Genomic DNA, 16,426 nt, shown 5'->3' with positions numbered 1-16,426 from the left:
CTAGACTAGTTTGCCAGTGCAGTGACTGAAACAGATTAATTTATTCACACCAGGAAGAATGCAGTTAGGATAGTGCTGCACTGCTCTTACTTTCATGAACCTTTTAATTACCTTTGCCTTACACCATTTCCACATAGACTAGACTACAGAAGCTCAAAAGGACAGTTTCACTGTAAAGGGACAGAGCCATTTGGAGTGAGGCCCTTAAGCCCTTTACTTTGGATCTCTCCTCCCCAGTTAGTTGGGTGGCAATTCAGAAAGATAAATTTTCATTTAAGACACTTTATTAAAAAGCCACTTTGAATCTATAAGAACATGTGGAATGGGAGATGTCCTCTTGTCTTAGAATTTGAGACCTCAAAGCTTGGGACATTGAGTGACAATCTCCTCCATACTTCAGAGATTGGTGCTGACCCAGCCCCATAGGAATTACTGAAAATTGGCCGGACCACCAACTGGTCTGTGATCTGCCTTTGGCCTATTCAGACTTTTTTTAGAGGGAAGGGAGGCAGATGCTTCCCTCACCACCAAATCACATGTTGGGAAGCCCCAAGAGTACTGCATATAGAGGTTATGGTCATCTACAAAATGGTAGAGTGTCATCTCTGTCCCTGGCTGGATGTTTGCCAAATTGCAAAAATTAGTGGGGTTTCCCTTTGCATCTAGCTGAGCAGAAAGTGAGTTTTTTCTTGAGAGAAACTGACATGTGACTCTCCATAATTTGAAGCAAAGTGTGATAATAATAGGTCTCTGCTTCTTTTCTGGAAAAGACAAAGGATAGAAAACAAAGTAGAGCTGCCCTTGACTGTGGGGCAACAAGGAAGGAGTCAGCAGTTTGTCAAGCTGCACGTTCATTGTACTTCCTGTGAGTCAAGAGGACCCTAAGAGGGCTGTCTACTGGGGCAAAGCTGAGGGATGCAGGTGATTCTGAGCGGTCAGATAAAGAGCTCATTGTCTATTGTAGGAAACATGTAGGGCATAGGAACTTGTTGAGAGTCTCCCAAGAATCTGCAAATGTACTTAATGAGATCCAATATTTGGAAGGCTGCTATGACAGAGGGCATCTGATAGTCAAATGAGAGTTATAAATTAGCTCCTTTTTTGATCCCTGCCATCTCCCAGGATTCAGAAATGGAAAGGGCAAGGTTGAGGGTGGGATAGGGAGAGAAGAAAGGAGTATAAAAAACCAGAACAGAGTCCTCCCCTATGTCTTCTCACAGCTTCTCTTCCCCTCACACTGAGTCATTCCTGAGCTGACAGGAGGGGACGTTCCAAATCAAGTATTAGATTAATGCTTTGAGTTAGACAAGACTGAACTTTTTAATACTGGATGACAAAATTGTTATCATGAAAAGAAATCTGAAAGAGACACTGTCAAGGCTAGAGGAGGGGAGACCTGACAGAATGTCTGAATGCAGTGATGGGAGAAAAATGAAGCTGTTTCCTGATTGCTACTGAGTCCAGCTCATGCAATAATTAATAATGAAGGGCCCAGATTCCTTAGCAGATAAATTGTAGAGAAAAGGAAATGATGGGAGAGGATTCTGTTTTCTGAATTATAAACTTAGAAAATCACTGTAGTGAAAGGCTTCATTTAAATAAGAGGCTAAATTAGAAAGTTTCCTTGATACCTTCAGACTTTAAAAATCTATACTTTTTTGTGGGGGTAGGGGAGGAGTGTTACCCTCAGATTTATTTGTGCAAATAGCACAGGAGGACACCAGCCCTATGCAGACGGCAGTGCAGGGCGGGTCACACCAGTCCTTCTGTCCTCATATTGGCAGATGGAGATCTCTACTTTGAACCCTTTGTAGTGGCCTGGGCGCCTTTGGGAGCCTGAGCTGGAATTGAAGCTGGAGCTGCAGGCTGGGCCTTGGTTTGATCCTTGGTCTTGGCCTTTGGCCCACACAGCCTGAGCCCTTTGGCAATGTGGGCATGATCATGCTTCCCAAGCTTGGAGTGGGCAATGTGGGCAAGTCGATGGAGCTTGTGGCTGACACCCTTTGGGATCTTGGGCTTAACTTCCTTGGGCTTTACCAGGGCCTTGATAGCCTTTGCACGTGCACTCATGGCCTTGGCATTGTTGGCCTGCATCTTCTTTAGGCCCTTCTTGTTGTGCTTCTTGGCAAAGCGCATGTTCCTCAGGAACTTGGGGTCCACCCCTTAAGAGATTCGTATCTTTGTGATTGGGGTTTCTTGAGGCAATTTCTGTGCCATATTCGGGACCAGTTGTGTGTGGTGTGGTTCTTGGACTTGGCCATGTCTGCACTGTAACCCGTGGCTCCTGAAGCGCCTGGAAGTGAAAGCTCAGTATCCTTTTGTATATAACTGGATATCTTGGTCTGTTTGCATTACTGTAAAAGAACACCCGAGGCTGGGTAATTTTTAAAGAAAGAGGTTTACCTGGCTCACAGCAGGCTGTACAAGAAGCATGGCATCAGCCTCTGTTTTTGGCGAGGACTCAGACTGCCTCCAGTCACAGTGGAAAGCAAAGAGGAGCTGCTGTGTTCAGAAATCACATGGTGAAATAGGAAGCAAGAGAGAGGGGAGAGGCAGGTGCTAGGCTCTTTTAAAAACAGTTCTCAAGGGAATTAAGAGTGAGGATTCACTGATTTCTGTGATGACAGCACCAAGTCATTCATGAAGGATCTACAGCCATGACCCAGACACTTCCCATTAGGCCCCACCTCCAACACTGAGGATTTGTGGGAAGAAATATCAAACAGTACTACCTGGGATCAAGTGTTATTTTGGAATACTGTACCCCTTTCCCACATCATCTTATTCCATATACATTATTTTTATGAATTATCATAGAAGAGTTTTCATTATATTTCTAAAATTACATTCTTCATTGCTGACAATGCAGCTTTAACCAACAATTGTTGGTCCTAATAGTGACATTAACTATTTGGCATTTTTATATATTTTACCTAGTGGACCATAATGGCTTAAGCCTTTTGAGTATAAGCCAGTTCATTTAGTTACCTCCACCATTTCTTTCAACCAAGACTCACAAGGAACAATTTTAACAGGCTCCATGTTCAATTTTTAGACAATGAGCTTTGGTTTTTGGAAACAGCTTGATCATATAGTATAATATAAATTCTAGGTCCACCTCCAGTTTTTTAAGATTTTGTCTACTAATGTGAATGGTCTTTGATACTCTTGGTAATGAAAGGATTAAATCATTGATGTCATTATATGTTGAATTTGGCTATTTTCATCAGCCTTCAGGGTCTGGCTTGTCTGCCTTTTAAATGGACAAAATGGAGTAACATAATTTGTTTTTAAAAATTTTATTGCCTTAAGATATTTCTGACTTTCTGACTTGTGTTTATAGCTAGGCTTTATGGATAGTAGGTATCTGAGAAAGAAAGTATCTTTCTTCTCCACAGGCACTAATTCCATCTTGTAGGTTTTGATTTTTTAAAAAAATATTCCCTGTGCATTATGCTAAACATATGGGCCCTCTTTCCTTTCCTTTCTTTGTTTTTCTTTTTCTTTGTTTTTTTTTTTGAGACAGAGTCTTGCTCTGTTGCTCAGGCTGGAGTGCAGTGGCTTGATCTCAGCTCACTGCGACCTCTGCCTCCCAGGTTCTACTGATTCTCCTGCCTCAGCCTTCTGAGTAGCTGGGACTACAGGTGTGGCCACCATGTCCAGCTAATTTTTGTATTTTTAGCAGAGACAGGGTTGTGCCATGTTGGCCAGGCTGGTCTCGAACTCCTGGTCTCAAGTGATCCACCCTCCTCAGCCCCTAAAGTGCTGGGATTACAGGTGTGAGCCACTGCGCTGGGCCCTAACTCATTATTCTGTTTTGTTCCTATGAATTCTTCAGAAGAACCAACTTTGGAGTGTTATGGCCCTTTCTGCTAACAAACTTGTTTGTATGTGGTACTTAGTTTATCTTCCTACCATGAACAAGCAGCTATGGACCTTGTGGTTGAGACAACATAAGACAGCACAAATATTTGCACCTGACTCTCAAACCACACATTTTAGAGCTAGTCATATGGGACACCCACCCCGTGGTAATTCATTTTTCAGAATGCTGCATGTTTTACTGCTTGGCTAAGTTCGTAAATCCTACAACTTAAAGTTTTGCTTTTTTATTTTTATTTTTTGTTTATTTGTAACTAATATTATATCTGGGAATTAGATTTCTATCTTTTGATGCTAAAAATATAATATTTTTATTCTATGCTGTAGGTAGTCTTTTTTTATTTTTTATTTTGAGAAGTGCTTAAATGAAAGACTCTCTGCTGTTAATATTTTATCAATAGATTTTATGCAGTGTGAGTCCTTCCACAGAGACATGCTCACTGGATAGTTAACAATTTCCAACTAGTAAAAATATGCATGGAAAATACTATGCTTGCTCCTTACATGCTGAATTATTAAAAACATCCAAAAATTTGATCTGAGATCTTAAATGCTGACCATTTGTGTTATCTTCCTGAATTACTTTTTTAAAAAATCTCCTGGTTGGCAGGTTCAGATAGGCTGACTAGTTTGTGTGTGTGTGTGTGTAGATAGTTGAATTTTGTCTTCTCCAAATCCTCTCTCTTTGTTAAAGGAAAATCTATAGAATCATTTCAGATTTGTTCTTCTATATATTCTGTCTTCTCTAAACCTTATCTATTGAGAAACCTTTTTTCATTATCAATTCAAAAACATTCCTAGATCTTAATATATTTCATATGACTCCTGCAAGAGGTGTAATTAGTAGGAAAGGGGTCTTTTAAATGCATTGGGTTCAAGCAAAAAGGCTATCCATTTAGAATTCATACTGAAAAGGAATATATTAGTGTAGGGAAGTGAATGAGAGTCCTCTTGAAATATTTTGCTTAGGGACCTATAACTTATTCTAAGCTCCTGACTTACATTTTGTTTATTTATTTACTTATTTATTTATGGAGACAGTCTTGCTCTGTCACACAGGTTGGAGTGCAGTCGTGTGATCACAGCTCACTGCAGCCTTGAATTCCTCAGTTCAAGCGATCCTCCTGCATCAGTCTCCCAAGTAGCTGGGACTATAGATGTTTGCCTCCATGCCCAGATAACTGACTTAAATTTATGTGTTCTGGTCAAGTTCAGCTGATTAGTCAAAGGCATTTCCTTTAATTCTGCAATGCCTTCAGTAGTCATCCAAATGGCACATTTTCCCAGATTATAACTAACTCCTTTTCCTGTTTAATTAATGGTCATAGTTCAGAGTTCATTTCCTGACTGAAACCTCTACTTTCAGCAATTTAAACTGTGGATTTTAATTATTAGGTTAATAATGAGCATTTAGAACTCAAAGATACCAGCTTTTAATCCATATTACTATTATTGATTTGAATATTTATAATATATGTTCCATTTTAGTACATATGGTAGATTATGTATGCTAATATTTTCATATTTTAAATGCTGAATTTAGCAATACAGATGATTTTGTAAGTGACAAATAAAAATTGTATGTATTTTCAGTGTACAGCATATTTTATATATATATCCATTGAAAAATGATTAAATCAAGCCTGATAACATATCTGTCACCTCACATATTGTTTGTGGTGAAAGTATTTAAGATCTACTATATCAGCAATTTTCTAGTATCAATACATTATTATTAACTATGTTTTACTATGTTGTACAATAAAGCTCTGGAACTTGTTTATCCTGTCTAACTGAAACTTTGCACCCTTTGACCAACATCTCCCCATCCCTGCACCTGCCCCCACAGCCCCTGTCAACCACCATTCTATGCTCTGTTTCTGCAAATTTGACTGTTTTAGATTCCACATATAAATGAGGTCACAATATTTGTTTTTCTATGCTGGGCTTACTTCACTTAGCACACTGCACTTCAGTTTTATTAGGATTTCCTTCTTTTTATAAGACTGAATAGTATTCTATTTTATGTCTATCTATCTATCTATCAATCATCTGTCTATCTCTATCAATCATCTATTTGTCTATCTTTGGAATTTAAGAAGGTAAAGAGAATGACAAGAGAAAAATATTGGTGTGTTAGATGTTTTTTTGTGCTATTTCAGTTATTAATCACAGAGCTTGAGTGAAATTATTTTAACTATTTATTTAAACTCAATTAGCTTGAAACTTTTAAGGAATCATAAAAAATGAATACAGAACCATATATAAATTATATATCACTAATTTTTATAATTCTTCTTACTCAAAATTTACTTGGGAAAAATATAGAAACTGTATTTATGGATTGTTTAAGGAGTATAAAATATTTATTTAAAAGCTATTAAAAACTAGTTTTTAGCAGATCATCTTTAGAGAATGTCTTTGGAGCTTGATAGTCATGAGTTTTTAATGTTAGATTAATTTCATATTAAAGACAAAAGTGAAACATTAAGAAACAAACTGTTTTGAAGCTAATGTAATTTATAATCACAGTATATATTGGGAAGACTTAAAAACTAGGAGAAATTACATAAATGAATATCCTGAGTAAACAACAACTAACATTTATTGTACACTTAGTATGTGTCACACATTTTTAGGTGTTTTGTACTTATTAACTTATTGAACTCAGTAATGTCCCAGAATAGGTACACAATAGGATATGGGGATATACAATGAGGAATCAAACAGAGAAGTAGCTCTGCTCTCAGAGAATTTATATTTTAGGGGGAGAAGACACAAAATAATTAAAATTAATAAATAAAACATATAGTGTGTTATATGGTGGTGAGTTTTATGAGGGGAAATAAAGGCATAAACGGAAGAAGGGGAGTATGATGTATGAATGTGGTGGTCTTTCATTTTAAGAAGGTATTTAGGGAAGGGCTCACCGAGACTGTGACATTTGAGCAAAGATCTGAAATCGCTGGTAAAGACATCTGGATGTCTGGAAGAAGAAAGGCCCAGAAAGAGGGAATAAGTGCGAAGGCTCTGAGGCGGGAGCATGCTTCGCATGTTTGTTTCAGAAGCAGAGATGCTCATGGCCAGGAGGAGAGCAACCAGAGATGAGGTCAGAAAGTTAATAAAGGGCCTGATTTTGTAGACTTGGGCTTTTATTCTGAGAAATATGCAAAGTTAATGAATGGTTTGAGAAAAGACATTTTAACAGGATTCCTCTAACTACTATGTTGAGAATAGACTGTGGGGGCAAGAGTTAGAAGAGGAGGTCAAGTAGGATGCTGTTGAAATAGCCCAAGCAAGGATTATGGTACTTGGATCAGGGTAGGGGTGGAGTGTGGAGAGAAGTTTTGAATTCTGGATATATTTTGAAGATAGAGCCAACAGGATATGGTGTCTGAAAGAGAAGAGTCAATGAGATGCAGGGCTTTGCTCTGAATCATGGGAAAAGCATTGGGAAGACAGTGGAAGAAACAGGTTCAGGAAAGGAAGATCAAGAATTCAGTTTTGGACATTTTGGATTTGAGATGCCCATTAGACATCCAAGAAGAGGTAAATCTTCACTACACCTCTGTGAGGTAATTCCCAGTATTGTCCTGATTGTGCAAACAAAGTAACAGTTTAGAAAGGTTAACTTCTCTTTATTCATCAGCAAGTAACAGAGGCAGCATTCAAGCCTGGGCAGTCTGACATCACAGCCCCTGCTTCTAAGCACCATGAGATCTGCGTCTAAGGATTTCAGAAATGAGTATAGTTGTGTTGAATCATATAGACTTATAATATGGAAAACTCTACCACCCATCAGATCTAGGACTTGCGATAGCTTAGATTAAAATGGCTCTTTTTAAAGGAACATTTAGGCCAGGTGCGGTGGCTCAACGCCTGTAATCCCAGCAGTTTGGGAGGCCACAGTGGACGGATCACGAGGTCAGGAGATCGAGACCATCCTGGCTAACACGGTGAAACCCCGTCTCTACTAAAAAAAAATACAAAAAAATTAGCCGGGCGTGGTGGCGGGCGCCTGTAGTCCCAGCTACTCGGAGGCTGAGGCAGGAGAATGGTGCGAACCCGGGAGGTGGAGCTTGCAGTGAGTGGAGATCGCGCCATTGCACTCCAGCCTGGGCAAAAGAGCAAGACTTCCTCTCAAAAAGCAAAGAAAAAAAAAAAGGAACATTTATAAAACCTTAAGTATTTTGGTTTCTCTCTGTCTCTATCTCTATCTCCATCTCCAACTTCATCTCCATCTTCATTTCTCCATCTATCTCTATCTATCTCTCATCTCTATTTCTTTTATAAAAATATTTTTATTTTACTGTAATAGACATCCCATTCATCTCTATTTCTCTCTCTCTCTCCCACTCCCCGCCCCCACCTTTACTCTAGAGAGCTGTTTTTCACATCTGTCTAGCTAGGGTGGCAGTTTTCTGTACTACATAGCTCTTAATAGCTTGTGACAACCGTTCTCATTTTGGCTACTACATTTCTGGTGCTGTTTGTATTTATGCCTCTTAGTCACAAGCTCTCCAACATTTTAGCTTTCAAAAAGTTCTTGCCATTCCTGGTTACTTTCTGAATGTTGGTTGACCCAACATTCTACTTTCCTAGGAGTCCATAGTTAATGACATTGTTCAGGCTTCGTGTATCCTACATTTCCATTTTGTCCAATGTGCTTATGGTTAACTCACCACACAGCAGCTGTTTAGGTATTCTTTTGTCAATTAATCTAGCCACACAAGGTCAGCTCAGATTTTTTGGGTTGCATTGTGCACTATATAACTCAGCAAAACAAGTTATTACAATAGAAATATATACCCTCTGTATTAAGTAGGATAGTGTAAGTGTGGACTACTCTAAATAACTTGTCCAAACAATTGTGGAGTTAAAAAAACACAGTTTTTAAAGAATTATGCATGATCTGCGCTAAATTTCCTACCAGCTCCTAGGAAATATTTTATATCTTGGTATGACAGCCTTAGAAATATGTATTTGTAAGTGAATGGCTGACATACCATTAACTATTCAGCAATACATTCACCAAATCAATACAAATGTAGTGCATAGTCAATAATATGATTCATTTGTCACTTGGTGGTTGGTCCCATCAGAATAAGTACATTATAAAATGCTAAATTTTTTCCTTTCTACATTGTACCCTGTATTACCCCATGATTAAACTAAAGTGTTAAAGTCTGAAATCATTTTAGTTCATACTTACAAATAATGACACATGTGGGGGAAGCATCTGGTGAAACAATATAATCAGTTGAGGGAATTTAATATTAGGCTGCATCGAAAGTATGTGTGACAGAGTTAAGAAACTTGATTATCTATTAAAAATGTGGAGCATCTAGAAATTAAGTCATTTTAGGGAAAGAAAATGATTTTTGGGTTTTCTGCTTGACTCAACTTTAGTAAGCATTTTGATATCCTATATGTTTCCTCTAGAAAATAGGAGTGATAGTACCCCTCTTCACTGGACCTTGATTTCCAGAGTCATCCTAAGGCTTCTCTCATTCTTCATTGTCCTTGTTTATTTTCCCAGTAGAATGTGTACTGCTGTTATTCCCTTACAGACCAAGCTGACCTGGCCAGCCCTTTTGTGTTTTACTCCTGTTAGTTCTTAAGCATGTTGCATACAAAAGTCCATAAATGGATACTCAGTCTTCTCCCTTATGTACCTTTTATTGTTGAAATAATTTTCTCATATTACTTAGATTCCCACAATATGGTCTTAATACTTCTAATGACTGGACCAAAGAGAGGACAGAATCACATATAGGAGAGATGTATATGGTAAAGTAGAAATAATACCTGGGTGATACTGTAGAGGGCAGGGCTTGGTCTATAGGGTGCTGGTAGGAGTGGAGCTCCAAATGAGGTGGGTCGCTGAGAGCTGCTTGCTCCACAGTTTTGCCTAAGAGCCAGACCTGCTTCTGCTTTTATATCATTAGGCAGTTTGCTTTATCAGCACTGCTGGCTTATAGTTAAGTATCAGAGATATTTATTATTGTCAATATTTTATCAAGATGTATCTGTTTAAAACTGCATGAATTTTAGGTGTCACAGAAGATAACATCCCAAATTTAGTGACAGTTAATGATTTGCTATTAGGTCATTCTTGCTTAAGTCAGGTGCACCAAAGCCAAATAGCATGGTTTAGATCATTTACTAAATAATATCAATGTGGACTCTCTGTCCACATTGCTTTCTTAAAACTATATTACTGCAATGCAGTCTACTTGTAGCAGCTTTTGAAAATGCAACTCAGAAAATGAGTGAAGGCTTATTTCTTAATAGGATAAGCCACAGGGGGAACATTATATTTTTGTCCTCTAGTTCCACAATTTGCTTCCAGGTGCAATTCAAGGTGTTGACTTTGATGCATTTTGCTTTCTTCACTTTTTAAAAAAATATTTTTCCAAATGCTACCTCATGAAGGTTATTCAGCTGAGACTACAAGAAGTTGAGACTTTCGCTGACAGTCTTCAGATTTGCCATATTTGCTGATGCATTGAGTGCATCAGTGCATGGGGTGCATAATTATCTTTGCCATAAATATATTCGGGTAGAAGATGCAAGTGCTATTTCTGAACCTCAGTGTGGCCAAAACATTGTACATGTTTCTTAAAACAACAAAAACTCCCATAGGAGGAGGAAAAATATCTTTTTTTTTTCTGGCTTTCTTATTTGAGTTGTATACCATATTAAATAAATTATTATTGTGACAATTTACCTGATACTTACTGGAGTAGCTTCTACTTGTTTCATACAATAAATCGGCATAGTTTGTGGCAATAGAGCTTATATGGGGTTGGGTTACGCTCCCTGTGTATAATCATTGTCACTTTTAGTAGTCAGGACGATACCCAGCAACGGTTAAACATATTCATTTTGTATTACTTGTGAGGGAGACACTCTAAGGAATATTTTCATTTATCTGTGCATTGATAAACATGCAATTTTATTTAAATAACAAATTTATGTGGTTAAAAATATCAAACAATACAGAAGAATTTAGAATAAAAAACTGCAATCCTTAGCCACACCCTTCCCTACCCCCAGAGGTGGCCAACGTTTAACTGTTTTTGTTTTGATTCTTCTGGCAGTTATATCTATACTTCTTTCTTTTTTTTTGAGATGGAGTCTCCCTCTGTCACACAGTCTGGAGTTCAGTGGTGCAATGTCTGCTCACTGCAACCTCTGCCTCCCGGGTTCAAGCGATTCTCCTGCCCCAGCCTCCTGAGTAGCTGGGATTGTTATATCTATATTTCTAATTAATATGTATCATTATTTCTTGCTTTAGTACCTTTATATACTATTTCCTTTTTTTTTTTTTTTTTTTTTTTTTTTGAGATGGAGCCTTGCTCTGTCGCTCAGCTCAGGCTGGAGCGCGGTGGTGCAATCTAAGCTCACTGCAACCTCCGCCTCCCGGGTTTAAGCAATTCCCCTGCCTCAGCCTCCCTAGTAGTTGGAACTACAGGTGCATGCCACTATGCCCAGCTAATTTTTGTATTATTAGTAGAGACGGGGTTTTGCCAAGTTAGCCAGGCTGGTCTCAAACTCCTGATCTCAGGCGATCTGCCTGCCTTAGCCTCCCAAAGTGCTGGTATTACATGGGTGAGCCACTGCGCCTGGCCATATTTTCTTCTTGATATGCTTAAGCCTGAATTTATTTATATTACTCTTTACTTCCCCATTCCTCTTTTTCCACATATGATCATATCAATAGTCTGTTTTCCTACAGATTAACTTTGGTACTTCAAAAATATAATCAAATCTGTATTTCTTATTTCATTGACAATGGACAGTACCTCTGAACTCTCCACTTTGTAAGACAAACACATTATAACTCCCAGTCTTTCTTCCACTTCTTTTTACCTTGGTACTTCTCAGTGTTCTAAGCCAATAAACAATATTCCCTCTAAAATGACAAGATAAATATAATATGTCTGCAGAGCTAGGCACAGTGCGTTAGTAATATATTTCCTTCTCTATTGGTCTATGGAAGTTATACTTCTTTCTCAATAGGTTTTATATAGGACTTCTCTGCCACTCAGGGGAGAATATTCTAGCTTCAAATCCCAATGAATTATCTGCTTGAACACTTCACTAATAGAGTTTATCATATCCTTACCCTTTTCATAGTTCTGAATCCATTCAGTTCCTTTTTTCCTCTGAAGACCTGCCTCCTGGAATGCTATATCCACTGGGTCTAGTCTGCCCTGGTTACTCTCTAGGGTCATTCCAAAGCTGTCATTGTGAGACTTACTTTCACTGTTCCATGGACATCACCCTGTTACTTGGATCTTATGTTTTCTTTATGGCTTACATCCTTAAGTTAACTTCCTAAGGAAGGGTACACAGGAGATAAAATGAATGAGATCTTGCAAACCACAAAGATCTTTATTCTACTTTCACACTTAATTGATCAAGTCATTTGGCTGGACATATATTTCTTGGTTGAAGATCATTTTTTTCAGAACTTTGAAAGCATAAATTCACTGTCTTCTAGCACTTAGTTTTGCTGATAAGAAATCTGATATCAGACTAATTCTAATTCATTTGTTGATTACTTTGCTTTTTTTAATCTCTGGAAGTTTTTAAGATCTTTTCTTTATCTTTGTTTTCAACTGAACAACTTTATTTACTTATTTACTATTTTCTCTTATACAGATGCTCCTTAACTTAGTGGAGTTATGTCCTAATAAACCCACTTTAAGTTGAAAATGTCGTAAGTCAAAAAGGCATTTAATACACCTAAGTCAAAAAGGCATTTAATACACCTAACCTACCAAACATCATAGTTTGGCTTAGCCTATCTTAAAGGTGCTCAGAACACTTACATTAGCCTACAGTTGGGCAACACCATATAATACAAAGCTTATTTTATAAAAAAGTATTGAATATCTCATGTTTTTTTTTGAATACTGTGCTAAAAGTGAAAACCAGAATGGTTATATGGGTACTTGAGGGATGATTTCTACTGAATGTATATCACTTTCACAGCATGGCAAAGTAAAAAAATTAAGTTGACCTATTGAAAGTCAGGGGATGTCTGTATTTATTTTTTGCTAATCATCTCCCCTCTATGTACTTTCTCAATATTTATTAGTCAATATTGATCATTCTGGATATATCCTCTGTGTTTCTTTAGTCTATATTTTCTGTTTCTTTGTCCTTACTGTTCTATGTCTTGGGAGACTTCCCTGGTTTTGTCTTGTAAGACTTCTCTTAAATTATATGTTTTAATCTAAGATCATTTTCTTATTCACCTATGTTTTTTCATAATATATTTTTCCTGTTTGCAGAGTCAACATTTTTGGGAATGTCTCTGAGAATATTATTTTGAGGGTTTCAAAAGCACTCTTAAATCCTCTGGATTATTAGCGCTTGTGGTGGAGCCATTTTTCTACTAGTTTATATCTTTCTCTTTCATATTGCTGGCTTTAGTCAAACATTTAGTGATTTGGGTGGGCTGTCCATCTGGAAGAATGAAACTGACTGGGGGCTCTGGGTACGGGAGATGTTTCTTGACCGGCATCCTCTGCCTTTTGCTTCATGACTAGGGCACTGATCATTAAGCCTGAGAATCCCTAATTACTAGGATGAGGAGGGCTTTAATTAGCACATTAACGTACTGTCTTATTTTTTTCTAGTATGATCAGAGAAGATAGCCCACATTTTTTTCGTTCAGTGTTAAGTGCCTGGTTTTAGGCAGTCTTACTTCCAGGGGTGGGAAAGGGCTAGTATGTGTGCTTTCTATTCCATAAACCAGGGGTCAGCAAATTTTTTTCTGTGAAAGCCAGATAGTAAAAATTTAGGCATTGCAAACTACATATAGTTTCTGGCACAAATTCTCATTTTATAAACAATGCTTTAAAACCACAAAAACTGCAAAAATAGGTGTTGGGATATAGTATACCAGTCTCTGCAAAACAGACTTGCATCAGTCCCTCCCTCTTCAGCCTCATGTTTCACTGTCAACTTCTGAGTCTCAATCCTATCTAGATGGGGATTCCATAAAATAGATTGAACCCTCCTCTTTCACCTACCACCATTCCTGAGGTTTAGCCTTTCTCTTTGTGTATTTTGATTTCTTCTGTGTATTTCTGTGTTTCGTTCACTTCTCAGTCATAAATCTTCCATCAGTATTTTGTCTTTCAAATTCACATCCACTTGTGGGCCCCTTCCTTCTTTCTGTTATTGTTTGTAGTAGATTCTGTTAGTTACTTACATCCTGTCATTGCTCCCCGTTTTTCAGCACCCATCCCATTTTTCAATGCCAGCACCTGTAGCTCTTAGCCTGAAGGTCCTGTCTGGATGTAGAGCTTGCTCTACCTGTCCATGAGCAGTCTGGTGGAGCCAGAGAATGTCCCCTCCCATCAGCCTTCAACAAATGACTAGTAGGAATTGGTGAACAAACACCTCAGCTTCTTTTTCCTTCTGTTGGGATAACTTTGAGTTGCATGTTCTACTCTGGCTTCCGAGTTGCTTAGCTGAATTAAGCACCAGGTGCCAAATGATCTGTTGATAGTGAGCCCTTTATTGAATCTCCTGCATTTCATATCTCACTTTTCCTCTCCTGTATTAGTGTTTCCTGGCATTACCTCTCATATAAATTGCTTGTGGTATAGAATCCTTATCTCAAGGTCTGCTTCTGAGCAACTCAAATGGAGATACCATGGGTTAAATTTGTTCTTTATTACAATTTCAATGAAATATTAGATGGAAGAGCAGACAACTAAGTACTTCTTTCATTATATTGAATCTGAATCCTATTAACTGATATTATTTTGAGCATTTACCGTTAGCCAGGTATTATTCATGGAGAGTAGAATAATGAGTTATACGTGAATTCTACCTGCAAGGAACTTGTGTTCTACTGAACAGATAATTCATTCAATAGAATGTTTTAAGTGTTGTTAAGAAAAGTTGAGGGCAGCCTTCGTGGCTCACACCTATAATCCCAGCACTTTGTGAGGCCTATGAGGGCAGATAACTTGAGCCCATGAGTTCGAGACCAGCCTGGGCAACGAGGTGAAATCTTGTCTCTACAAAAAATACAAAAATTAGCTGGACATGTTGGCATGCACCTGTAGTCCCAAGCTACTTGGGAAGCTGAGGTGGGAGGATCACCTGAGCCTGGGAGGTAGAAGCTGCAGTGAGCCATGATTATGCTGCTGCACTCCAGCCTGGGCAACAAACAGAGACCCTGTCTCAAAAAAAAAAAAAAAAAAAAGGTAGAGATGAATGTGTCATTGGGCTTAAAGTCATGAAAGGTTATTTGAAGATGGGTGGTTAGGGATGAATTCAGGAGGAGGTGACATTTGAGTTGGGTAAAAGGGAAGTCAATTTGAAGATAAAGTGATGGGGCTGGACGTTCCTAGGGAAGAAACAGAATAAGCACAGTCCCTTTTCAGGTGGCATGTGAAGAGGAATGGTTCACTCAGGAGAAGCCTTACCTGCCTAAGTGAGGGAAGGCAACATTATGTGAAGCAAGTGTAAGTACATACAAAAACCCAGACATGTACACAGGATTAATTAAAATTGTAAGGAGATGCTCATATAAATATTGATGGAGATTGGTGATAAATGATTCATATAATCAGGAATTTGGATTTGATGTGGAAGCAAATGGGAGCCATTAGATTCCTCTGTGAAGGGAAATTGAAAGCATCTTTATGAGAAAACGTTGTGCTTTAGGATGTTCTATTCTTGTGAGGAATAGAATGATGTAGGTAAGGAAGACGCTATTGCAGGGATGTGGTAATTTTTCAGTCTGCATCATTGTGGTGGATCGTAGGATTAAGAATCAGAGGGCCACTTTGAGAAATATGGAAGAAGAATCTGAATTGCCAAAGGCAGAAAAAACAGATAGAGGTATGGAAAATAGAAAAGCAAGGAAAAATTCAAAGGACAAGTTCATTCTCTGAGAAATCTCTCAAAGTGGGGAGGATAATAGAGGGAATAAGAAAGAAAAAAAGGCCTGTTTCCTGTATCTGGGCCAGTCAGAATTGAGGTTAGCTAGGTAGCTTATTGGCCGGAGCTCTGCTTCATCTTCTATTTATCCTCTCACTATTTCTAACCATCTATGTCCTTCCAAAGAGTTGGTGAAGAATTGTATAAATCTGTTGGAGGTTATGTGTTGGGTTTATCCTGATTTTTTTTTGGTACCAGTTTCCTAATGGATTTTTAATGGGAAACATTTAAAAAATAGAAAGTAATCATTCTTTATTGATAATAAATCCTTGAGTGTAACTGAAAGACTTTTAGTGCCCACAAATTATACGTTACAGTTTCTATTTAAACTAATTTACTGCTATAGTCACAACAGTTGTTTTGCTGATTTCCATGTGAAGACTTCTTGCATGGAAAAAAAGTACAAAACAAAATCTACTGCTTTCCTACATTGCCAATTTCTTAGGCACCAATACATAAGTTAGCATTATTAGTGGGGAAAGTCACTAATAATGTATTTAACTATATGCCGAGAAGTCTGTGCTCATTATTGCAGCCATGGGGTAGCAATAGCTACACATTAAGAAGT

General features: G+C 38.0%; 1 protein-coding gene and 1 pseudogene across 11 annotated transcripts in view; one reads left to right on the top strand and one right to left on the bottom strand.

Annotated features, from left to right (window-relative positions):
- SLC44A5 (solute carrier family 44 member 5) overlaps nucleotides 1-16,426 on the top strand; it is a 521,887-nt gene that overhangs the window by 139,659 nt on the left and 365,802 nt on the right. The gene's annotated exons all lie outside the window — the stretch shown is intronic.
- RPL29P5 (ribosomal protein L29 pseudogene 5) lies at nucleotides 1,685-2,306 on the bottom strand (annotated as a pseudogene).

Source organism: Homo sapiens, chromosome 1 (genome assembly GCF_000001405.40).
Source record: "Homo sapiens chromosome 1, GRCh38.p14 Primary Assembly".
Taxonomy (NCBI): Eukaryota; Metazoa; Chordata; class Mammalia; order Primates; family Hominidae; genus Homo; species Homo sapiens.
Note: the sequence above shows the minus strand (reverse complement) of the source record. Positions and strands in the feature narration are given on the sequence as shown.